Here is a 24,008-nt window from a genome sequence, read left to right on the forward strand (position 1 = left end):
AACTTCTATTCACTTAAGGACACATTTAAGAAAATGAAAAGACAAGCCAGAGACTAGGAGAAAATATCTGTAAAATATATATATAGTGAAAGGCTTGTATGCAGAATAATAAGAAAGCAAACAATACAGATTTTAAAAATGGACAGAATATTTGAACAGACACTTCCCACAGAAAATATATGGGCAGCCAATATGAACACGACTAGGCAACAAGGAAATACAAATCAAAACTACAATGAAATACCCAATATACCCATTAGAATGGGTTTTTTTTTAAACTGTCATCGCAAGGAGTTAGTGAAGATGTAGAAAAACTACACTCTCAAACACTGCCAGTAGAAATGTGAAACGGTATGGCCCCTTTGGAAAAGTGTTTGGCAGTGTTCTTAAAGTTAAACATACACCCATTACATAGCCCAGAAATTCCACTCCTAGGTACTTACCCAAGAGAATGAAAACATAGACTTGTATGTGAATGTTCACAGCAACATTATTCATAACCACATATTCATAATAGCCAAACTCTGGAGGCCGGGTATGGTGGCTCACACCTGTAATCCCAGCACTTTGGGAGGCTGAGGTGGGTGGGTCACTTGAGCTCAGGAGATTGAGACCAGCCTGGCCAACATGGTGAAACCCCATCTCTACTAAAAATACAAAAATTAGCTGGGCATGGTGGCGGGCACCTGTGATCCCAGCTACTGTGGAGGCTGAGGCAGGAGAATCGCTTGAACCCTGGAGGTGGAGGTTGCAGTGAGCCAAGATCATGCCATTGCACTTCAACCTGGGCAACAAGAGCAAAACTCTGTCTCAAAAAATAAATAAATCTGGAAGCAACCCAAATGTCCCTCAATTGGTGAGTAGACAAACTGTGGTTATCCTATGAATTACATCAGAGCAGTTTTTCAGATTTTTTAATGGGCTGGGACTCAAGGCAAAAGCAAAAATGGAATTGATTTAAATAAATAAAAATAAAAGATTTCATCTTTTCTTCCCCTCTCACAATCCCCTCAGGTCACTCTCTGACACACAAAGGAATGGCAAAAATGCAATCCAACATTGAATCATAAATTACTAGACACCAGCAGCTGTGCTAGGTGCTGGGACACCAAGAGGGATCATACCTGGTTTCTGCCCTTGAGAAGCTCACAACGTAAACAGGGATAGAGGTGGGTGCACAGTGAATGCTCATACAAATCAGACTGCAGCGCGGCAAAGCACAAGACAGTGCTTCACTCGGCTGGGGGGATAGTCAGTACTGACTGTGTTAGGAGTTTGAAGACTGTGGCCTCACAGAGGAGGTGACAATGAGTAGAACCTTGATGAGACTTTTTTTTTCTTTTGAGAGACAGGGTTTCGCTCTGTCACCCAGGCTGTGGCAGGAGTGCAGTGGCACAATCATAGCTCACTGCAGCCTCAAACTCCTGGCTTAAGTGATCCTCCCACCTTAGCCTCCCTAGTAGCTAGGACTACAGGTGCACTGCCACACCTGGCTAAGTTTTTTAATTTTTGTAGAGATGGGATCTTGCTGTGTTGCTCGGGCTGGTCTCAAACTCCTGGGCTCAAGCAATCCTTCCACCTTGGCCTCTCAAAGTGCTGGGATTGCAGGAATGAGTCACTGTGCCCAGCCAGGATAAGATAAATTAAATAAGCAGAGAAGGTGGAGAGATGTGGCAGAGGAAACGGCAGAGGGAACATCCCAGCAGTGCCCCCTGTGACATTTGGGGGAGTCATGGGTATTTTGATGGGGCAGGTGCTTAGGAGCAAACTAATGGGAAAAGAAGCAACGCAGAGCATTTGGTCCCTGGTTTAGCTGTTTGCTGTCTGATGTTCTCTGTGTTTGGGCATCAGCGTCCAAGCCCTGCTTATGCCCACTGGGCCAGTCTCTCAGGAGAGCAACAGGGTACCCTATACCTATTCATTCAGAGCCAGCAGCCAGGTGATTACTCAGCATAAAGAAACTTCTTTTGAGCCACATCATCCATGACATTGGATCCAAACTGCCAAGTCCACAAGGCTGCAAAATTTCCCCAATGTATTCATTTGGGTTCCAGTTAAATGGACAATAATGATCCTTTAGGAGTGTGTGGTGAAGTGTGAACACATCCAGCACCTTCTGCTTTACAAAACACTTTCTCACCTGTTGACCAGATGACTCTACCCATGCTCCCACCAGTTAGGGAGGCAGAGAAAATGTACCCCATTTGATAGATGAGGAAACAGGCTAGAGTTGCCAACTAGGTTCAAGGTCGATGTCCCCTGTCATAGTGGCTGAAGGACATAAACAGTGTGAAGGTCAGGGGCGGGAGAAGAAGTGATTTATTGACCAGGTCTCCATCCAGCCTTTTTGGGATATGACTCTTTCAGCAGAATGTCAAAAAGTCTAATTTTCTGTGGACTCCAGAAAAGTTGATTTTGATCAGATCAACAAGCCACCTCAGAGTGTTGAACTCATACCCTCTGGCTTTTTCTGCTAATGACTATGAAATTCACATTCAGTGATGAACCTCTTCTCAGGATGGAATGCTTTTATAGTAATGCCAATTAATAACTTTCTTCTTCTCCTAGCCCTCTTTGTGATGTTGAATCACAGGGCATAGATGCTGGCAGGGCTTTAGAGGCACTAGTAATGTGGTTTTTAAATTTTTTTCATTGACTGATCAGCATCTTTCATCTCCTTGGTTCATAACCTGTGAAGTAGGCAACAGCCTGGATCATTATCCCCATCTTATACGCGAAATAACCAAGAAAAAAAGCGGCTAAGCCACTTACCCAAGTTGTAGAGCTAGGTCTAGAACATGTCTTATGACTCCCAAACAATGCTCAATCTACTACATCAAACTTCCTTTCTCTTCCACCCTGCAGATTAGATGCAAATTACTACATGCTTGAGCTTCACCGAGAAGGAAACCAGCTCAGAGAGGAGTAGAGGTCTGGCCTTCATGGCAGTGTGGGAGAGCTCCTTGACTCTTACCCTCCCTCCAGAGACAGAAACAGTTTCCCTTCAAACCATCATGAGGATTGTTGCACGCCAGCTCTGTCTTAACTTAAATATGACTCCAGGTCAATATCAAAAGGAAGGTGACAGTGTCCACCTACCCATTCCCCAGTAGCTGGCCACATTGTGCCGTCCTAGCCACAGCTGAGCCTGCTCCAGGCCATTCTCTTGAAACACATACTAGCATCCTCCCCCGAGCCCAGCTTCCACTGACAGGCAGGCTCTGAATCCAGCAGGCTGCTGCCTGAAGCAGCTCCCAGCAGGAGCTAGATGGAGGCCGGCAAGGTTACAGGTGCTTTTCATCCAGCCTCACAGGAGAGCACCAACTTCCTGCTGCTAGAAATTTGTCTGCAAATTTTTGTCTTCATTCAAATCGATGGATAGAAGCCGGGAGACACTGGGGTGATATGATAACTTGATTAAGCCCCAGAACAGATGACACGGTAGCTTAAAGGCCATGTGCTCTCCTCCTTAACCTCTCCCAGGGAGACCGCAGGCTTTGCTAGTAATTGGCCCATTGTCCTTCCACTGCGATTCCTGCACAAGCCGGGAATCGCCTGGCTAGGGGCTCCTCTCTGGGGCAGCCTTAAATACTCTCAGACCAGTCAGGCCTAGGGAACTGTGAAAAATACCTGTGCAATGGAACATACCAGAGTCACATTCTGAGAAGCTAAAAATGACCCTTACTGAAAACAATGACCTAGGATATTCTCCCATCCTCAAGCACAACTGTAAATTGCAACACACACAGGGATGAAAGCCCAAGACTGTTAAAAGGTGTTCAAACTTTTAGAATATTCCGTTCTTTTGGGGGAAAATCCCCCTGACCTTTCATTTTTGTCGAGGTTGGTGTCTCCTGCTGGATTACCCATTATTGAGAATGTTTTTGATCAACCACTTCCAGATACTCTGGCATTCACTGGTGTGAGCCCGTCTTGGGTGAGCTAAGGTGGATACCTGTGTATATCATTGCCTCTGGAAAAGAGATAGGTGGGTTCCAAGCCAGAAAGAAGAGTGCTAAATAGAAGATATAAGTAGAGCTGGGCGTGGGGTCGTGAACAGTGGCTCAGGCCTGTAATCTCAGCACTTTGGGAGGCTGAGGCGGGCAGATCACCTGAGGTCAGGAGTTGGAGACTGGCCTGGCCAACATGCCAAAACCTCGTCTCTACTTTAAAAAAAAAAAAAAGGGCCGGGCACAGTGGCTCACGCCTGTAATCCCAGCACTTTGGGAGGCCAAGGCGGGCGGATCCCGAGGTCAGGAGGTCGAGACCATCCTGGCTAACATGCTGAAACCTCGTCTCTACTAAAAATACAAAAAAAAAAAAAAAATTAGCCAGGCGTGGTGGCGGGCGCCTGTAGTGCCAGCTACTCGGGAGGCTGAGGCAGGAGAATGGCGTGAACCCGGGAGACGGAGCTTGCAGTGAGCGCGGCACTGCACTCCATTCAGCCTGGTCGACAGAGCGGGACTCCGTTTCAAAAAAAAAAAAAAAAAAGTAGCCGGGTGTGGTGGCGGACGCCTGTAATCCCAGCTACTTGGGAGGTTGAGGCAGGAGAATCGCTTGCACCTGGGAGGCGTAGGCTTCGGAAAGAGGAGGCTTCAGTGAGCCGAGACCGCATCACTGCACTCCAGCCTGGGCGACAAAGCGAGACTCCATCTAAAAAAAAAAAAAAAAGATGTAAGTAGATATTTGCTGTGATGATAGTTTTGCATTCTATTTTAAAATCTTCTGTCAGTCTTTGTTCAGTGATAGACTTAAGACATTTAAGAGCTGAGAGGGAGCGGAACACGAATCCCCTCAACCCATTTTTTTTTAGGAATATATGAGAGGAATAAAATTCGCTACTGTCTGCTCAAAGTTTGAGTTGGACCCTTGCTGGGGAATGTGAAAAACAAAGCTGTTGGTGACGCTTTGAAAATCAGCAAGGTGTACTATTAAAGGTTAAATAAATGCTATTTTAAATTCTCATTCATTATGATTTATTGCTCAAGTCTCCCTATGAGAAAGAGGGCTACAGTATGCCAACATCACCCCTTTCTGTCTTTGTCATGGGAATGGAATGTCTTTTGAACTGCTAAAGTAGATAATTCCATGCCTGGAAGAAAAACGAAGGCAGGGGGAGGGGAGAGTAGAAGGAAAAAAGATCCTCTCATTTCCTAATAACTGCAAAGGCCAGGAATGTGCCACAGCGGCATTCAGGAAAATTCGGCGATGCGTGCCACCGTTGGGTGCGCGCCCCGTCCCTCTAGTGCCAGGTGGGGGACTGGGAAGCCGCCTCTGCCATCTGCCAAGGACCCACGCGGCCTGAGTGATTTACCCATTCCCGGCAATGGCGAGATTTCTTTCTAAAAAAAAAAGAAAAAAGAAAGAAAAAAAAAATCTTTGTTGTTTCACCGTTGGCCTCTTGGCCTCGAAGGGCAGCGCGCGCCCCGCCTGCAGTCCCCCGGGCCGCGCGGCTGGAAAGGCCTCTCTGAAGGGGGCGTTCCGCTCTGCCCACTGCGACTCCGGCCATTGTCCTCATTCGCCCCGCACGGGGACTGAGGAGGGGGCTTTTTAAGTAGTTCCCCGGGAACAAAGGGGACTCAGGCGCCGGGCTTCATTACGGGCTCGTTGGCCACACCAGCGGCCCCGCCTCTCGCCACAGCCTCGGCCACAACCAGCCCCAGCCAGTGGCTCAAGGCCGCCGCCGCCGCCAGCTTGCTGGCTCCTCCCGGCCCTCCCCCTCCTGCCCCCTCCGTCCCCTCCCCTCCAGCCCCGGGCCCCCGCTGCGCCCACGCCCCGCCGGACCGCTCCCGCCTGCCAGGTAAAAGCAGAGCGCCGGGATCCACCCGGCCCCGGGCCGCTCCAGACCTGCCCCACGCCCTGGCGTGTCCCTTTCCCGGTGGGGACCCTCTAGCGGCCTGAGTTTGAGAGAAGATCTAAGCTAAGCCGCCACAGCGAGGGACCACATTGAGAAGATCGGAGCCTGCCTGGCCGTTGTGAGCCTCCTCTCCTGCGGCTGAACAGACCTAACTGACTACAGCCAGGAGTGGGTCATTCGAGGGTCAGGAGAGGTTTTAGACGTAAAATACACACGTGGGTGACCTCAAACATACTCTCTGAGCCTCTTGTTGAACAAAATGGAGCTAGGCAGTTTGGGGTTCTTTGTTTGTTTGTTTTTACATGGAGTCTCACTCTGTCACCCAGGCTGGAGTGCAGTGGTGCAATCTCGGCTCACTGCAACCTCCGTCTCCCAGGTTCAAGTGATTCTCCTGCCTCAGCCTCCCAAGTAGCTGGGATTACAGGCACGCGCCTCCACGCCTGGCTAATTTTTGTATTTTTAGTAGAGAAAGGGGGTTTCGCCATGTTGGCCAGGCTGGTCTCGAACTGCTGACCTCAGGTGATCCGCCTGCCTCAGCCTCCCAAAGAGCTGGGATTACAGGAGTGAGCCACCACGTGGAGCTAGGCAGTTTTAAGAGTGATCAATAATGTATGAGACACGCTCCTTTCTAGTAGGTGCTGCTTAAATCATAATTAGTGTCATTGTCGCATGGAACCTACAGCATCCAACGTAAGAGGCTTTGAAAAGTGCTTCTGGGCCGGACAAGGTGGCTTCCCCCTGTAATCCCAGCAACTCTTGGGGCTGAAGTGGGAGGATTGCTTGAGGCCAGGAGTTCAAGCACAGTCTGGGAAACGTGGCAAGAGCTCATCTCTAAAAAATAAAATCAATTAGCCAGGCATGGTGATGCCCACCTGTAGTCTTAGCGACTCAGGGGGCTGAGACACGAGAATTGCTTGAGCCCAGGAGTTTAAGCCTCCAGGGAGCTGTGATCACAGCACGGTACTCTAGCCTGGGCAACAAAAGAGACCCAGTCTCTTTTAAAAATTTAAAAATAAAATAAGAATGAAAGTGCTCTGAAGTGATGAGGACCGCAATGGAGCGTCAACAGCAGGCTAGGAAATCATAGCACGTGCTCCTCCACTGAGAGAAACCTCCTCCGTGCGCCCCCTGCTCCTGCCTAAGCTCCTCTGCAGAAGGACCTTCAAAGCCTGGGGCAAGCTCCCCCGCAGGTGCTGCACAATGATAAATCCTGATGCATAAGAGCCCCAGACAAGGCTAATGGGCCACGCGTGGGAAGCCAGGAGGTAATTGAATGGAGAGATTTCCCTGGGTGGCTGGGAGGGCTGCTCCACGCTGAACCATGCCAAGCTCCACTGCTCACAGAGGATCTGGCCAGCGCCCGCAGGAAGTGGGTGAAAGAACATTCACTGGTAGAAAAGAGTGCAGCCTCCCAGGGGAGCTTCCCATAGGGCCAAAGAGCTCGCACTCCAGCTCCTCGGTGGCACCCCGGATTAGTTGAAAGGCTGCCCTCATTGGTGCCCGCCCAGAGGACTCCTGATACATCAGATGAGGCCTGGGCAGGCAGGTGGGAAGCACAAACCCACAGGCAGCTGAGAACAGATACAAATCCTCTCCTCCATCCAAACAGAAGACCATTTGTTCCTTCTCCGTTGGGGTGGGCACTGAGGAAGGCAGTTTGTTGCAGAGTGGAGCAGACAGCAAGCTGACTGCTGTCCCCAGATTGCCGCCCACACCTAACCAGGACTAGCCCTGGGAGCAAGGAGGGAAAATGTAGGACAGTGACCAACGGTGGCCCTGCGGATGGGTGAGCACACTCCTACTCCTTCACACAGCTCATACCAGGCACCAGATCCCAGTGATGCTGTGTCATCCACAGCACACCAGCGGTTACACCTGAGGTTCCCAAAGAAGTAATGGATTTGGCATTTTCTTTTTTTCTTTCTTTTTTCTTTTTTTTTTTTGAGACAGAGTCTCACTTTTGTTGCCCAGGCTGGAGTGCAATGGGACGATCTTGGCTCACAGTAACCTCTGCCTCCTGGGTTTAAGTGATTCTCCTGCCTCAGGCTCCCGAGTGGCTGGGATTACAGGCATGCGTCACCATGCCCAGCTAATTTTGTATTTTTAGTAGAGACGGGGTTTCTCCATGTTGGTCAAGCTGGTCTTGAACTCCTGACTTCTGGTGATCCACCCGCCTTGGCCTCCCAAAATGCTGGGATTACAGGCATGAGCCACCGCACCTGGCCGGATTTGGCATTTTCTTTTCTTTTTCTTTTTTTTTTTTTTTTTTTTTGAGACAGAGTCTTGCTCTGTTGCCCAGGCTGGAGTGCAGTGGTGCCATCTCGGCTCACTGCAAGCTCCGCCTCCCGGGTTCACGCCATTCTCCTGCCTCAGCCTCCCAAGTAGCTGGGACTACAGGCGCCCGCCACCACGCCCGGCTAATTTTTTGTATTTTTAGTAGAGACGGGGTTTCACCGTGTTAGCCAGGATGGTCTCGATCTCCTGACCTCGTGATCCGCCCGCCTCGGCCTCCCAAAGTGCCGGGATCACAGGCGGGAGCCGCCCGCCCGGCCGGATTTGGCATTTTCAAAGCACACTATCGTTTTCTTGCTGGATTGATGTCTGGCAAGCTTGCCTGATAACTGGCCTGGGTGTACTTCCTTCTTTGATTTGTATATATTTTAATCTTTTATTTACATGTCCTGCCTATTTTTTTCATAGTGACCGTGAATTAACTGGAACAGTTTTTTTAATTCTTAAAAAAAGAAACAGAACCCATTGAATAGTCTTAGAACTTAGATCTACCAGTGAGAGAAACTGCTAGTTGAGACTAAAATAGAGCTTTAAACTACCAAGAGATGTAGAGGCCCGGGGCGCTTGTGGGCAAGCACGTGTCAGCATGGGGAGGAAGAGGCACAGCCGCAGCCCAGGACCCATGCTGATGCCCTCACCACTTCCATCCTCTCAGATAAGATCATTTCACTCCTGAGAGAGGATCTTCCTTCTCCTAAAGCCTCCTAAACCTCACGGCCCACACCCAGTCTCTCCGACGTGAAGGGACGCTGTCCTAGGGGCGCCGGGGAGCCCAGTGCAGTCTTCCTGAGGCAAATGTGCCGCACAAGGTTTTCCCCATCTGGGATCGGGGAGCAACTGAAGGCCTGGCTGCTGGAATGCTCCTGAAACACATTAGGTGAGCAGGCCTCAGGCAAGGAGGGATGAGGCCCAGGACCGATGACGCAATCTTGGCCTCCGCTAGAGGGCTGGCTTGGGAAGGAGGTGGAAAGCTTCCATAATGAGATTCCCAGCCCGGCTCAGTCAAGCAGAGGCAGTGACTTTAGCCAAGGGCCTTGCTCTGGATGGAGCAGAATCCTACGGGCTGCTCTTGGAAGAACTGGTTTAATCTAGAGCAACACGGTCTCAAAATAAGGGTATTTGTGTACGGGAGGGATGCTTTGGGGGAGAGGAGAGAATATGTAAATATTTTTTGGTGGTGGTTTTAAAAGTCTGGGGAGAAATCTGCTAAATGAAAAACTTAACATACATTTAATATTCACGTGCATTGCATATAATAAAACAGTCCATTTTAAGTCTAAAGTTTTGCTTTTTAAAAACTCTGTGAAAGCTTCAAAATGAATTTTGTTCAACCTCCTCTCTTAACTCGACACTTAAATATTAACTGAACTGTTTCTGAACTCCGATTTTGAACTAGTTAAAAATCTTATTTCATTAGACATTTCTGAAGCCCATAAGATTTCTCCCCAGTGGGGTATGGCCCGCCTGCCCATTGCAGATGAACCAGTACGCTGGCATGTGAGCGGCCTCCACAGCTCATATGCGGCATGTATATAAAACCAGTGTTTAAGTCAACATCACTTTATTTTTTAAATGCTGGTTTTCAGTCTAATTCACAATTTTTTGGAAACTATAATATACTTGATGCTTTTACAGGCTCTCAACATTGATAATACTTGAATCATTGTGGGTGACCTTGGGCTTCTGGAGCTTTAAGGAACAAAGTTAAGTGACACATCCCGTTACAGAAAAAGGTATATTCTGTATATCCTATATTCTATATAACTATGGACTAGTCACCCTCCTTATTCTGATTAGCATTCAAAAGCATCACCACAATACCTCTCATACTCTTTTGACGCGGCATAGCACTGGATATATCTGTTCTGTTTCATTGTTGGACCTTTAGCAAACACTTACTGATTTCCTCCAACGTGCCACGTTCTGTGCTTTCTGTTCTTGAAGCCACATTCAGTAGAAGATACAAACATGGAACAAATAAAGATGGTATTATGTTGTTAAGTGTTAAATTAAAGAAATAAACAGAGAGCAAAAAGGAGGAAGGTACAAACTCTGCCCAGAAGAGGGAAGAGAAAGTAGGGAAGGCTTCCCTAAGGAGGAAGCATTGGGAATGGCTCCTTGCTTTTAGGGACCCTGTCTGGGACTGTAACCACAGCTTCCTGAATGGTCTCCAGCTCCCACACTTCAAGCAAGAGGATAAGTAAAGTTCTAACAGTGTGCTGGGGGACAGCCCTTACCACCACCACAGCCCGCCAGCCCACCCCCGCCAGGCCTGGAGCTCTTCAGCAGGAGTGGGGAATAGCCATTCTGATTAAAAGTGACAGCCAGACCTCTGCAAGATGTCAACAAGGACCCTCCAACAACTAGTAATAAAGGAACACATTCATTTACTAAGCACTGACATTTTGAAGGGTAAATTCTGGTGAACGACACCCACTCATCCCTCTGACTCCTACTCTTAGCTAATGACCCTGACAGTCAAGTTGCTTTTGTACCTGCTGTTCCTTCTGCCTAGAGCACCTTCCTCCTCTTTAAGGACAGGCAATATAGACACCAATTCATCCAGGAAGCCCTCCTGATAACCCCCAACTAAGGGAACGTCGACATCCACCACTTCATTCATTCAGCTAAAGCTTACTGAGCACACACCATGTGGCAGACACGAGGGACACAGTGGTGAACAAAACAGACAAAATATACTGCCCTCGCGGAGCTTATATTCTAGTGCATGGAAATGAACAATAAGCAAAATAAACAAGGGAAACACATAGTGTATTAAGATAGAGGAGAATCGGTGGGGGCGGCCCACCCTGGCAGGAAAGTATATTGATAACAGAATTTAGAATTGCTGGTGTGCGGGGCTCATAAAGAGCAAACCCACTTTGAGTTTATTTCACGATTATTTTCAAATTCTCTACAGATGACGCACCTCCTTAGGTCCTGCTCCCAGTCACCATTGAATCAGAATGCCACTGGATTAAAGAGTGACAGGTCAAAGGGAGGAAGCAGAGCAAGGATGGAGAAGGAGGAATGGGTGTTGAACGGGCTGCAATTTTAAATAGGATGGTTAGGGAGGGAGCCGTCACTAAGGTGACAACGTGAGTAAAGATCTTGGAGGGAGGCCGGGCGCGGTGGTTCACACCTGTAATCCCAGCGCTTAGGGAGGCCGAGGCGGGCGGATCACGAGGTCAGGAGATCAAGACCATCCTGGCCAACATGGTGAAACCCCGTCTCTACTGAAAATACAAAAAAAATGAGCTGGGTATGGTGGCTGGTGCGTGTAGTCCCAGCTACTCGGGAGGCTGAGGCAGGAGAATGACGTGAACCTGGGAGGCAGAGCTTGCAGTGAGCAGAGATTGCACCACTGCGCTCCAGCCTGGGCGACAGAGCGAGACTCCGTCTCAAAAAAAAAAGGTCTTGGAGGGAAAGAGTTCCAAGCAGAAGAAACAGTAAGTGCAAACATTGTGAGGCAGGAGAGAGTAAGCACAGAGGAGAGCAGTGAGAGAACCAGAGAGAACAGGGACATGGACCACATGGTCCTTTGGAATGAATGTGGCTGACAGAGTGAGACGGGAGGGAAAAGATGGGATCTGACTTACTTTTTGAAAGGATTACTCTGGAAGCTGTGTGCAGAAGAGTCTGAAGGCAGGGTTGGAACTTACTGGGAAATGACGAGAACAGGGAGAGCCAGCTAGGAGACTCACCGGACTCCAGCCAAGAGCCAAAGGTGGGTTGGACAAGGGGAGGGCAATAGTGGTGACGAGAAGTGTCTGATTTGGAAACGATGCCTCAGTCGAAGGGAGATAGGAACCTAAGAATCAAAGGGGACACAAAGGATTTTTGGACTCGCCATTGGCTGAGATGGGAAATCTGTGGGCAAGAAGGGGTCTGTGTGTGGGCGGGGTGGGCAGGAGCTCAGCTCAGGATGAAATGTCTGTTACCTGCCAAGCAGGATGTCTTAGAGGCAGTGGATTCTCAGCATACACAACTCTGAGAGTCAGCAGAGAAGTCTAATTTAAAGATGAGTGATGGAGAGTTCCAAGGATTGAGCCTTGATGTTCTTTGTCATTCCTTCGCAGGAATCTGAAGAGAAGATGGCAAAAGAGTCTGAGAGGCAGTGGCCAGAAGGAGAAGGAAAGCAGGTGGATGTGAAGAAAGTGTTCAACGTGGAGGGAGGAACCAGCCATGTCAAATGATGCTGACAGCCAGGCAAGATGAGGACCAAGAAATGTCCACTGCATTTAGCAAAATGAGGACATTGGTGACCTTGACAAGAACAGTGTCAGGGATGACAGTGTGATTGGGGTGGATTCAAGGGAGAATGGGAGGAGAGAATTTGGAGATGATGAGTCCAGACAATCATTTTGGAAGTGGTAAGAACTGGGGCCATTCTCCTGGGGGAGGAAGTGGGGTCAAGACAAGGTATCTTTACATGGGAGAGATGGCAACATGGTAGCATGCTGCTAGGAGAGACCCCATAGAGAGGGAAAGATTGATGGTGCAAGGGACAGAAGGGAGACACTGGAGCGATGTCCTTGAGCAGCCAGGAGGGCATGGGATGAATGTTGCAGGGGGAGGGGCTGGCCTGAGCCATGGCGTGAAAAGTTCATCCACAGAACAGGAGAGGGACAGACACAAAACGCGGGCATGCGGTGAGGCAGCGGGTGAGGTGGGGACAGATGCTCGTGAGCATCTCTTCTGATTGCTTTTATCTTCTTCGTGAAGTAGGAAGCTGAGGCATCACCCGAGAAGAAGGCTCAGCGAGTCCGTGTAAGGCAAGCGGGACTGTAAGCTCCATGAGGACAGGAACCTTGTCTCTTGTTCGCCATCGCCCCGCTGTGTGAGCACAGTGCTAGGGATGTACTAGGTGTTCAAAAGGCATATATTGGATGATGAGCTAATGAATGGCAAAATGGGCAGATTATCACAGTACCTGAAACCACAGGACCTCACCCTAAATGGGCACAGGCCAGATGCCCAGTGCTTTTTTTTTTTTTTTTTTTTTGAGATGTGGTCTCACTCTGTTGCTCAGCCTGGAGTGCAGTGGCGCAATCACCAACCACTGCAGCCTCGACTTCCTGGGTTCAGGCAATCCTCCCACCTCAGCTTCCTGAGCAGCTGGGACTACAGGTGTGCACCACCACACCCAGCTAATTTTTGTACTTTTTGTAGAGACAGGGCTTTGCCATGTTGCCCAGGCTGTTATCGAATTCCTGTGCTCAAGTGATCCACCCACCTCCACCTCCAAAAATGCTGGGATTACAGGCGTGAGCCACCATGCCTAGCCTGCCCGGTGCTATTCTGATTCATACACTTATATTTATAGCCATCAAATCTCAGGGCTTCCTTGGGTCCCTGGGCGACCTCTGGCCAGTCTCTTTCCTGCTCTTGCCTCTCTCACCGAGCTTAGAAGAGGCTAGGCTTAGGGCTTCTTGTAAAATGACCAGCTTTCTCTAATTGAAGACCAGGGTACCCTATCACATTTGTATCTATTCTTTGCTCTTTTTCTCTTTCCTAGTGACCCTCATGTTGTCATATTTGTTGCCAAGCTCACTAAGGAGGGCACCACGGGACCAGGGTTGTCACCTCTAGGCAGAGGGGAAGCTTGAAAATGACAACACATGGCCCTAGGATGTTCATAGGCACCATCACAATTCAACTGCTTCCTCAAGGCCCAGGGAATATTTTTCTTTGCAAACTACTAGTATTCTATCAGTATGACTAGTAGTTTAAATTGTTTGGAATCTTCTGGTCCAAGGCAGAGCTGTGGGGCTGTGGAGGCAAAGTCCTGCCTGAAATGGGACCCCCTGCAGGGTGCCTGAAGTCTAAGGGTCTGGGTCCTCAGCCACGGATCACACAGCCTGGAGCCTGTGAGTGGGGAGCCCCTGCCACACTTCCCTCAGCCAGAATCCTAAACCCGCAGGAGTCCCGGGGCTCTGCGACACTCTCTAGCCCAACTCTCTTCAACACCAAACCCCTTATGCATCTGTCAGATGGTCCTTCAACTTCTGGGTGAAGTGCCGGTTTAAAAGTGAACTGCCAGAGAAGCAGTCGCTCCAGATGTCTTCAAAGGCCAGTGTCTGTAACCCCATCTGTTCTTACCTCAAAGGCCAGGCTCCCATCCATCATGATGGGGAGAGGTGGGAAAGGGCTGGCTGGTCCTGTCAACTCCGATAAACAGGTGAAACACTGGCCAGGTGTTCCTGGAACTGGGATCTCCCCTTTTCTCTCCCATGCTGAGCTGCTTCTTGGAAACATTCGCAAGAGGGTGACAGTCTTCCCTCCAGATCCCTTCTTCGTCCCCAGGGCACCAGAATAGCAGCTGACAGCCCCAGCACAAGTCCTTGGATTCTTTGTCATGTTTAAGAGGAGGCTGGCGGGTGGAAGATGGGAGAGGAATCCAATTATTTAGTCAATAAACATGTATTGAGAAGCCAGTGTGTGCCCGGCACCCTTCAAGATGCTTGGGATATCTGAGTGAATGAAACCCACAGGATCTGCTGCCTGTGGGGCTTGCATTCTAGTGAGGGGAAAGGTCAGAGTTCAGGCAGAGTCTTCCTGACACAACGGGCTTCCCTTCCCCCAGGGCAAGAGGGATCCAGCCAGGCTCCTGCTGGGCCAGTGGATCAGTCCCCGATCCACTCCCAGAGCAAGCAGCCGCAGTCAGCAGAGACCCCACCCTCCAGATCTGCCAAGCACATCGGCTGACTCCAGCCCCCAGAGCCACAGAGCCACTCAGCAATCAAGGAGAGTAGCTCCCAGCCACGGTTGGTGGCAACCCCAGGGCCCGCTGTGGGGGATGCTGTGGGTCCACTCCCTGCCACCTGCTTCCTGCCTGTGTAGCCACAAGGGAAATACCACCTTCTGAGAAGGGGGAGCCTGTCACCCAGATAAGCAGGTTTTGTGGGCCGCTTCCACAGGAAAACATGCTTTCTAAGAAGCCAGTCTCCTTCCTCTCGTTGTTTTCCTGGCAAGCAGAAGCAGCGTGAACACCTGCAGATCGCAGCGAGATGAGGTGGATTAAAGTAAACTCTCCTTACTGTTAAAACGCCCAGCATCCCCTCAAATGCTGGGGGTGGCTTCCCAAATATAATCTTTTTAGAGAAAAAAAAATGCCCACATCTACCACTGTTTGCAAGCAATTCAGACAACTTAGGTGTGTCTTCTCCCTGTTGCGGGCAATGAAAAAGAGGCTGCTGACATCTGTTTCCTTTAAGAAACTTGTAAAAAAATCCTCATGCAGATGCGCACGGTTGCTTGGCTATGAGCAAAGCAGCATGCCGTTCCTGACCATCCATGGGCCCCTCCTAACCTGAGCACTTGCTGGGGCCAGAAGACCCCTGCCCCAGGAGCTGGCAAGGGGGTACATGGTTCGAGGGTGGGTTTCTAGCTCCTAGGGTGGACCTTTGACCCAACCAACTCCTAATCAGCAAAAGCCAAACGAGACAAAACCACTGTGGGGAAACTTCTCCCTTTTTAAGCCCCAGCTTGTATAAATTAATTCTTTGTATACAACCATGAAAGGAGATCTGAGGTGAAACACAAGTCACCCCAATGGTGTAATGAACTTTCTGAAGCTTAAAAAAAGTCATCAAAACACGGAGGCAGTTGGGTGAGACATTTCCTCCAATGCAAAATCAGTTTCTACATCAATGATTCTCAGAATGGGGTAAGGTGGCAGGGGAGAGAGTATAATGAGTTTAGTGGCTTTTTCAAACTACCTGTGTGCCACTCCCATCCTCAATTCTAGAGATTCTGGCACACGCCCCAGGAAGCCTCTCCTGACCGAGAACTCCCGTCATGGTGAGTTCTTCTTACTCAGTGGTTCTTAAAGATGAGCTTGCACCAGAAGCACCTGCAGGGCCCGGTAAAGCCCAAACCGCTTGTTCCCACCCCCAGTTTCTGATTCAGTAATCCTGGGGTGGGGTCCAGAATTTGCATTTCTAACAAGTTCCTAGGCGATGCTGTTGCTGGTACCAGGGACTGCACCAAAAATCCTCCAGGTGTTTTGAGGCAGAAGATAATTAAGAACAACTGGGTTGAAAAGAAATTATTTGCTGTGTATTGCAAAAGAACAAAATCAAACCTCTTTGTAGCACCTCTTGATGCTGATGGCATGGCGGTACACTGAAGTATTGTGGGGGAAATGGCTGAGACCCCAAGGCTAGAGATAAACACATGACCCAGATTGTAGCTCCATCCCCCCCACTTGCAGATCTCGGACAGGCCAGAGAGTCCCCGCTGTGAGATAAAGTTTGGGGTTGTCAGCTGCTCATTTAGCTAGAGCACCGATGAAAGGAGAATAGGGCATGGATTCCATCTCCACATGGGTCAGGAAGCTTGTCCTGTCCTGTGGCTGTGGGCAGTGGCTTATCAGGGGTCGATCCTCAGGCCACTGAGCAGAAGAATGCAAGGGCAGCCACCCCTCACCAATGAGGCTACTCAGTGCCCACGCTCGACCCACCCCAGCTATGGCAGAAACTTTCCACCCAGAAGGAAAGGCCCCATTATTAGAATTCAGAAGGGACTTTGTGGCAACCAAACTTACAGCGTATATGCCAACGTCATGCCACACCCCAAAGGTCAGTGATGGTGCCAGTCATGATCTAGAAAGAAACTGGGCCTGCGGTTCCAGGGAAGAAAACCCACAGTCTGGGAAAAGTAGAATTTGAGAATTAACTTTGATTTCCTATTAATTCTTATCCCACATGGGATTACACTGTCTGGTAATTATAAGTGTGGGGTGGGGAAATCGATTCCTGTACTTCCTCCATAGAAGGGAACTTGTTTGTCAGAACTTCCAGGGCCTAGCACAGCCCTGGAACACACTAGGTCCTCAGTTAATGATAAATCTTTTACAGTCAGTGCCTCCCAGAGGGGAGAAAATACCATCAAAAGTCAGGACTTTGGGAGCCTGGGAACCTAGTGTTCATCTTAGAGAAGCTCAATGCCGTCTAGCACGGAATTCTGCAGCCGTGGAGCAAAGATTCCTTCCCCTAATTCTGTTGGCTTGCCTGGCTCTGCTCCTGAATATTTAATTGGAGTAATTAAGCCTATCACCAACAGGCTGTCAGTCCCAGCATTCAAAAACTCTCCTGTTGTTCTTCCAAAGAGTTAATGATCTTCAGGCCTTGAAAAGATCCTGCATTTTTGGCTGGTTATCAAAATCAACTAGAGAAGAGCTGATTTCAGGATGCTGACAGCCTTGCTCTCTTGCTCTGTGGTGGGGGCTGTGCTGGGCTAGGGGAAGAGGACTTGCATTCATACCCACAGACATTCCCACACACACACACATACGTGCACATCAACACCAACACCAAAACTTAGGTGTTCACTGATTTCATGAGGCGATTCATTTTCTGCTGGGTGGGGTGGGGTAGTGGTGTGGTGCAGCGTTAATGATTCCTGAGACATGTCCTGTCTTGTATGTTTATACCTCTGCAGTTAGCCTTTCTTCTTTTTTGCCCCCGATCCTACTCAAAGTACCCTTAAGTATGGAATGCATGATGAACAGGCCAGATGATTCTATCAGTTCTCTTGGAGTTTCCTATATTCTATTCTACCCCTCAAGATCACTTTCACTTCCCAGACTAGTCATTACGATGCCCTAAATGCTGGTTAAGGGTCATGACAAAAAAAAAAAAAATCCAGCTGAAAACTACTTGGCCATTTTGCATAAAACTGGGGTCAACCCACTGGTCTGTTGTATCACTTGACAGGAGCCCCTTAGGAAATCTCTTTTAGAGCTCAAAAGCCAGGTGAATTTTATCTCTCCTAAGAAATCCACTTACTTTTCCCTGTTTTATTTTTGTCTTGGCTGCCAAGAGCCTCAGAGTTAAATTTAATAACAGTTTTAGGTTTTGTATATTTACTTCCCTCCTTCTTCCTGTGGTCCTGAAAATAAGATAACTATTTTAATAATCTTACTGAATGTATTTTCTTTGTTGTAAGGCATGCAATTTTTTTTTCTTTTTTAGAAAACACAAGCTATCAATGATCTTAGTGTAAAATAAGTGCAGGATCCTGCACTCAGAGGGAAAGCCAATTGCATACAGAATGATGATTCCCTATAAACAAAAATTCCTGAATAAGATTAAGAGGGTCATAGTGGGCCACAAGCTGACAGTGCAACAGTAACCCTGTGCAGGGAAGCGGGTGGTCCCTAAGAGACCAGGCTTCTGAGTGTATGCTATCTTATTTCAGCCCTCCATGAAGCTTCGTGGTTTAGCTTTACAATGGCCCCTAGAGAAGATCTTACTAAGAGCTGTAGAAAAAGGTTGCGTTGTGCTTAACTGCAATCCTTTCACATGTGAGAGCAAGCTAACATACATCCGTTAGACACCTACTGTTTTCAGAATCCTGCCAGAGGAGCAGTAGGTCTTTTTCCTCAGTGGTTTTCTCCCACCCACAGTCACCAGTGTAGATAGAAGCCCTTGGAACCACGTTCCGCAGCAGCACAACAGGTGGGGCTTGGGAAGACAGTGCATCTCCTGCTAGCCAGGCTGCCCAGACCCTGGGGTGAGTGTCCAAGTAGGTCTTGGACTACCCTCTTCCCCCAGCTTTTAGAAAATTCTCACCCAATTGGACTGCTGTGAGGGGGACCTGATCTGAACCCTCAAACTCCTGCTCTGCAAAGCCTAGATCAGACAGAGGCCCAGCCTCAAAAGCACCTCACTGTTCAGGCCACACAGGCAAGCTCCCGGAAGCTGGGCATGGAGCACTGCCACACGGTATGGTCCTAATTCTCCTGTCTCATCCTCCGCAGCCTTTGCTCCTGGAGCGGCTGTGTTGGGTGTTCTGGCACCAGTGGCCACACGAGCCATGCTGGCCCCTTTCCCTGACATTTTTTAAATATAAATTTTTAAATGTGTCTTTGAGATGAAAGCAGGAATGCCAAAAGTAGGCCGACGCTTTCTTGTGTTCAATTACAGCCCTGGGGAGTACCCCACACAAGGAACTGCTCAGAGCTCCAGCCAAGATGAAATCTGCTTTTCCAATAAGCACTTCAAATGGCAGGGGATGTTGTTGGCTGGCTTCAGCAACTGGGAGGCCAACAGTTAATAGGGCTGGGCACAGAGGCAGGGCTGCCCGCCATCAGGGGAAATCTGAAGCTGCCTTTCACAGCAGCTTTCACCGCAACTGAAGTTACAAGACACTTTTCTGGCTCCCCCAAGCCAGTGGCATGAACCCACCTTTGGACTTCATTGAAAAGAACTTCCAAGATTTAATCTTCCAAGATTAAAGATTTTGATATCCAATGTATGGAGAATTAATTACTCTCTATACAGTTTTTCTTCATTATTTTCTCAGGCCAAATTCCTTTACAGTAAGTGTTAGGCATGTCCAAATTATTTTATTGGACTGGAATTTTGTTGGTTTGAATATAGGCCATGCCAGAAATGCTGATAAAATGAAATGAGGATACTGATGGTGGTGGTGAGGATGGATGGATGGATGCGTGGATCGATGGATAGATGGATGGATGGATGCATGCATGGATGGATGGATGGATGGATGCATGGATGGATGGATGCATGGATGGATGGATGGATGCATGCATGGAAGAATGGATGGATAGATGGATGGATGGATGGATGGATAGATGGATGCATGGATGGATGCATGGATGGATGGATGGATGCATGGATAGATGGATGGATACATAGATTGGCTGGTAGTAGAAGTAGTGGCAGTGTTATAAGCTAAGTAGGGAAAGGTCTAACAGCTCCATTTCCCAAACCTGGAAGCTGAAATTCCACAAAGCAAATGACTGGCCCAAGCTTACCACAGGTGAGCCTGACGTAGAACCCAAGCCTTCTAAGTTATGCACTCCTCAAGACACCAACTTGTACTTCAGTAATCTGTGTCACGCTGTGACTGCATATCCATGTCCTGCCCTGGCACAGAGCTTTCCAGACTCAGTCACAGTCATAGGTGCATTTTGCCTGGTTTAGTTACTAAGTATTGGCCAATTATCAAGTCATGAAGGGAATCGTCACCAGGACTCGGGATTCCAGCTTCATTCTTGAATCCCTAAAGCCATTCCTGGATTTGAACACATATTTCCTGACCCGTTAGGTAGAAGAAGAAGCACCAGGGTAAACAGCAGCGATTTCCAAATTGCGGTGTGGATAAAGGATTTGTTAAAATACGTATTCCTGGGCCTCATTTCCCTGCCAGGTTCTGAATGAGGAGGTCTGAAGCAGGTGCAGGAAATACAGGTTCAATAGCAAAACACTTAACCTCTTTGAAGTCTCAGTCCAAATGTCACCTGTGTAAGGTTTATCCTGACCACTCTATCTAAAATTGCAACACACATACAACCTCGTCACTCCCCAGCACCTCACCCTGCTCTCCTTTTCCCCCTAGTGCTCTCACCTGTTAGATATTGACTTGTTTCTTTTTAATTTTTTTTTTTTTGAGACAGGGTCTCTCTCTGTCGCCCAGGCTGGAGTGCAGTGGCACAATTACGGCTCACTGCAGTGTCAACCTCCTGGGCTAAGACAATCCTCCTACCTCAGGCTCTCAAGCAGTTGGGGCTACAGGTGCACCACCACACTCAGCTAATTTTTGTATATTTTGGTAGAGATGTGGTTTCACCATGTTGCCCAGGCTGGTCTCGAACTCCTGGGCTCAAGTGATCCTTCCACCTCAGACTCCCAAAGTGTTGGGATTACAAGCATGAGCCACAGCACCCGGCTGACTTATTGCTTATACTTGTTTGTTCTTGGCCTCCTTTGGCCAGGACCTGTCTTCCTCATTGCTGAATCCCATGAGCCTGGAGCCATGCCTAGGTCAGTAACTCCCTGTTGAAAACAACAGAGACTGAAGGAAGAAGTAACTATAATTAATGCAGGTGGTTCGAGATGCACACTTGGAGAAACACTGCTCCAAGAGCATGAAGTTGGCACCAGCCTGACGGGGGTTGGGTCCCAGCTCTACCCACCTGCTGTGTGACTTCAGACAATTTCAGCCTCCTGCGCATCAGTTCTCTCTCATCTGTGAAATGGAGACAATCCTTCTATCTTAGGGCTGCAACACAAGGATCCAGTAATATAACCAGGCACAGAGCAGGACGCTGCAGCGATACTCCCTCCCTTATCTTCTGGGTGGAATTTTGCAAGCAACGGTGTCTGAGCAGAAAATGAATCTGAAGCCTCCCAGGGGGGAGGGAGCACATTCTGTTTCTCATCAGGCGGAGAGGCGGGGAGGAAGAGTGAATGGAGGTCACCCATCGAGGGGAGTGTATAAGTCATCCCTGCCGGCTACCTCTGCAGCTCACAGGACACACGTTCACCTCCCTCCCTCCCTCCTTCCCTTCCCACCAGCAGAAATGAACAAGCAGTTTCTCTGAGTAAACAGATGATAAATCACTGGCTAGAATCAGTACTCCCGCCAAAGCAGCATCATTGGAGATCTCAGGCAGAGCAAGCGCACGTGCTTGGGGACTGCAATTTGGGTTTAGAGGCAGCCCTGCCAGGCCTGCACACTGCCGGGTGAGCATTCCTCCCCAAACAGCCCAGCCCGCTTCCCCGGGGCTCTTGGAGTAAGTCCCGCAGACTCTTGCCAGCCCCACCTGGAAGGACTTAAGCTCCAGCGTGGGGGATGCGGGTGAGATGGGAACGAGGATTTCCTGACAGCGATCCTGGAATGGGTGACTGAGCTTATAGACTTTTTCTCTGAGTTTTATGAAGCAGATAGGATTTGGAGGTAAAGAGACAAAATAAAAAATGTCTACACACACACACACACACACACACACACACACACACACACACACACAAAGACAAACACATTATACACCCCAAAGAGAGGAAAAGAGAACAGCCCCTGCAGAGGGGGATCAGGGCATCTGTCCACATGGATGTCAGGACAGTGGCGGGGACACACAATCCAGAGTCCAGAGCCCACGTCCAAGCTCCAGCTCCACCACTCACTGTCCAGTGACCTTGGACCAGTCTCTCTCCCAGCCTCCTCTCGGGGTTTCTTCCTCTTGAAGCACGAGCATGCATCCCTGATGCTCCCTGAGCTGATGTTTCATGGGTCTCTGATTTCCAGTTGGGCCCTGGCCAGGCGCATTGCGGAGGCAGTAGGGAAACTTGCCCAAATGTGTGGCCACCCCAATCTTCTTGGCCAGCCCCCAGCCCCAGCTGAGATCCAATTCAAAGCTTGGACCTTTACTTTCAGAGTCTACGATGGAAGGAGCAGGATTCGTACTGACGTCCCACACCTTTTTCCTGGCTTTCTGTCCCCGGTGGAGGCTCTGTGCCTGGCAGGCTAAACGCCCTCTGAGCTCTTAGAGGCAGTTTCCACCCTCAGCCCCTGCCCCAGCTGTGACAGCCTCAGGGTCAGGCTGAGCCCTGGAACCGTATCTGCTCATCTGGATTCAAGGAGAGACTACTGTTCTTCAAAGTAACCCCACTCCCGGTGGAACCCAGCCGCCACTCCCACAGGGCTGTCCAAAGTATCCCACTAGAGACCCCAGCAGGAGCTTCTGAGGAATTAGCGTGGAAAGGGATCTGCCAGGGTCTGGTTGTGTGACCTTGAGCAAGTCCCTTACCCTCTCTGGGTCTCAATTTCCCCACCTGGCTGGGCTGGCTCTGTGCCATCTGCCCAATGCCCTGTCTGGCCGCTGGCAGCCTCTCCCTCCCTGGGGCTGTAGGGAATGCTCCCCTCACTGGCCAGCCAGGGGTGGGGTTCAAATGGGGGAAGCCAGGAGCAACCCTTGCAGTCAGGGCTCCAGGCAGGAATCAGAAGAGAAGCCTCCGCCTCTTCTCCCCAGCAACATCTCTTCCCATCTTAGAATTATGGGCTGGCAAAGCCAGGGAGGCTATCAGGCATCATCCAAACCATTATGTACATGGCCTTCCTCCAAATGAAATCTCACACAAATATCAGATTGGAGGTTTGGGAATGGGGATAAGGGGATGGGCAGAGATGAAATATGGCGTGGAACATTTATGATAAAGACAGCTCTGGGCCAGGCACGGGGTGGTTCACACCTGTAATCCCAGCATTTTGGGAAGCCAAAGCAGGAGGATTGCTTGAGACCAGCCTGGGCTACACAGTGGGACTCCGTCTCTACAAAAAATAAAAAAAAATTAGCTGGGCGTGGTGGCGCATGCCTGTAATTCCAGCCTCTCAGGAGGCTGAGGTGGGACAATCGCTTGAGCCTGGGAGGTCAAGGATGCAGTGAGCTGCGGTCACGCCACTGCACTTCCAGCCTGGGTGACAGAGCAAGACCCTGTCTCAAAAAAAAAAAAAAAAAAAAAAAGACAGTTCTGGCGTCCTGGTTGGGGAAACTCCTCCAGCCATGGAAGACCCTTCCAGCCAGCTGGGGCAGCTAGACAAGACAGCGTTGCTCTACTCGGCTGAGTTCTCCTCTCCAGAATCAACTCCCATCGCTGCTTAAAGGGAGTAATGTGGCTGTGGGGGACAGAACACTAGAGTTTCATCAGCAACCTCGTCACCCCCAACATACAAAACGCTCCTTACAAACGCAGTCCTATCTGTGCTGCTAAAGAAGGCAATCCCCCCTTCACCATCCCATCTCTTCCACTTCTGTGCATGAGAACGCATAGGCAGGAAGTATCTGATCCACACGGCTCAGATGAGAGAAAAAGGAGGAGCAGGAACAGGAAAGGAACTGAGCAGAGGAGAGACCCAGAAAGGGAAAGGTGAGAGGTGGTTCTTGCGGCTGACTTGGCAAAGCCCCAGGCCTGTGGGATTTTCCGGGACCCTCCGTGTTCTGAAAAGGCAGGGGAGGGGCAGAGAACAGCCAGGGAAGATGGAAAAGGAAACTGGTGTCCTGCCGGGTGGAAATGGGGGAGAAACTCTCGCGTGAGTGTCATCAGAGCAG

The 24,008-nt window shown here is 49.3% G+C and overlaps 1 long non-coding RNA gene across 1 annotated transcript, besides 3 other annotated features; it reads right to left on the reverse strand.

Annotated features, from left to right (window-relative positions):
• Window positions 1–9,693: 9,693 nt before the first annotated feature.
• LINC00887 (long intergenic non-protein coding RNA 887) lies at window positions 9,694–21,299 on the reverse strand. The gene is made up of 3 exons (NR_024480.1): window positions 21,096–21,299; window positions 14,252–14,522; window positions 9,694–12,232 (listed from the first exon to the last, which is right to left on the reverse strand). It is a non-coding gene; the product is annotated as a long intergenic non-protein coding RNA 887 (long non-coding RNA).
• Window positions 15,407–15,646: an enhancer, noted in NCBI's record as "active region_21018". NCBI's record gives its function as "activates an Ori minimal core promoter by ATAC-STARR-seq in GM12878 lymphoblastoid cells {active_cell/tissue: GM12878}" and the evidence as "EXISTENCE:reporter gene assay evidence [ECO:0000049][PMID:35858748]".
• Window positions 16,157–16,306: an enhancer, noted in NCBI's record as "active region_21019". NCBI's record gives its function as "activates an Ori minimal core promoter by ATAC-STARR-seq in GM12878 lymphoblastoid cells {active_cell/tissue: GM12878}" and the evidence as "EXISTENCE:reporter gene assay evidence [ECO:0000049][PMID:35858748]".
• Window positions 17,860–17,909: an enhancer, noted in NCBI's record as "active region_21020". NCBI's record gives its function as "activates an Ori minimal core promoter by ATAC-STARR-seq in GM12878 lymphoblastoid cells {active_cell/tissue: GM12878}" and the evidence as "EXISTENCE:reporter gene assay evidence [ECO:0000049][PMID:35858748]".

The sequence above is a fragment of the Homo sapiens genome, chromosome 3 (assembly GCF_000001405.40).
Source record: "Homo sapiens chromosome 3, GRCh38.p14 Primary Assembly".
In the NCBI taxonomy this organism is placed as follows: Eukaryota; Metazoa; Chordata; class Mammalia; order Primates; family Hominidae; genus Homo; species Homo sapiens.